Genomic DNA, 1159 nt, shown 5'->3' on the forward strand with positions numbered 1-1159 from the left:
TCACTTAATCGGGGTGAAGTTTCAAATCTAGATCTGACTGAATTCAAGGACTGAGCTTTTTCTCTCATGCTATAGATAGGTACAAATAAGATTGCCTTTGAGATTCTATTAAACTACTTAGCTCATAAAAACTAGAAAAGTGGAAAACTGAGTTATTCCTTTATTCTGGATATAAAGATAACTAATTTTAAGCAGAAAGAGGCAGCTTCCATCTCAGATGATCAGACACAGCCTGGGGAAACTGCTCCTTCTTACCTTGAACCCTTGATGCTACCACTCCCACATCAGAACAAGTGGAACGATCTTGCCATTCCCAAGACCATGTGACCCAGTGGAGCTAGAAGGATCGGGATACAAACCCCGACTCTGCTACTTGCCAACTTTGTATCTGGGAAAACATTATTTCACATCTCTGAATTTCAATGTTCTCATCAAAAAGCAAGGAAAATTAGCACAGGCTTTTGGGCTTGTCACGATTTTGAACATGTTTGAAAAGTGCCTCAACAGTTGTTGGGACAAATTAGGAGAATAATGAACTGGGACTTTTATTCTTTCTAAAGCCGCAAATCTTGTGAAGGCTGAGGCCAAGGACTAAAGAATGGACCTCAGCTGGAAATGCCCCATGCTGTGTAAGGCATCCTCTGTTAAAGCTAACTCACAGAGAAAAGAAAAGGGGGACTTAAGCCCAAGGTGGGACTCCTATACTAGCAAATGAGAACAAACTGGCCCACTTCGTCTAGCCTGCTCAAACAGTTGGAGCTGGAAAAAGTTGGCAGTTTGAGCTGACAGCTTTTGCTGTCTGTATATTATTAACTGGCTTCCCCAACTGGCTGTGACTGTTTACTCCCTAAACTGAATTTTTTGACCAAGATCTCAGGCAGACCTGCAGACCCTAGCCCTATCAGCAAATCCATCACTGGATTAGTTGTCCCTTCTTGATACTTTAATTTTCTCAGTCATATAAATTGGCCAGGTGTGGTGCCTCCGCCTATACTGCCAACACTTTGCGAGGCCGAGGCAGGAGGATTGCTTGAGCCCAGGAGTTTGAGATCAGCCTGATAAGTATAGCGAGACCCCTGTCACTACAAAAAATACCAAAAAAAATTTTACCCGGTGGCACATGCCTATAGTCCCAGCTATTCAGGAGGCTGAGGTGGGC

General features: G+C 43.3%; 1 annotated feature.

The window, feature by feature from the left end:
* Positions 410-911: an enhancer, noted in NCBI's record as "NANOG hESC enhancer chr5:106454169-106454670 (GRCh37/hg19 assembly coordinates)". NCBI's record gives its function as "activates a minimal SCP1, AML or CMV promoter by ChIP-STARR-seq in naive H9 embryonic stem cells {active_cell/tissue: H9 hESC(naive)}" and the evidence as "EXISTENCE:reporter gene assay evidence [ECO:0000049][PMID:30033119]".

This window comes from Homo sapiens, chromosome 5 (genome assembly GCF_000001405.40).
Source record: "Homo sapiens chromosome 5, GRCh38.p14 Primary Assembly".
Taxonomy (NCBI): Eukaryota; Metazoa; Chordata; class Mammalia; order Primates; family Hominidae; genus Homo; species Homo sapiens.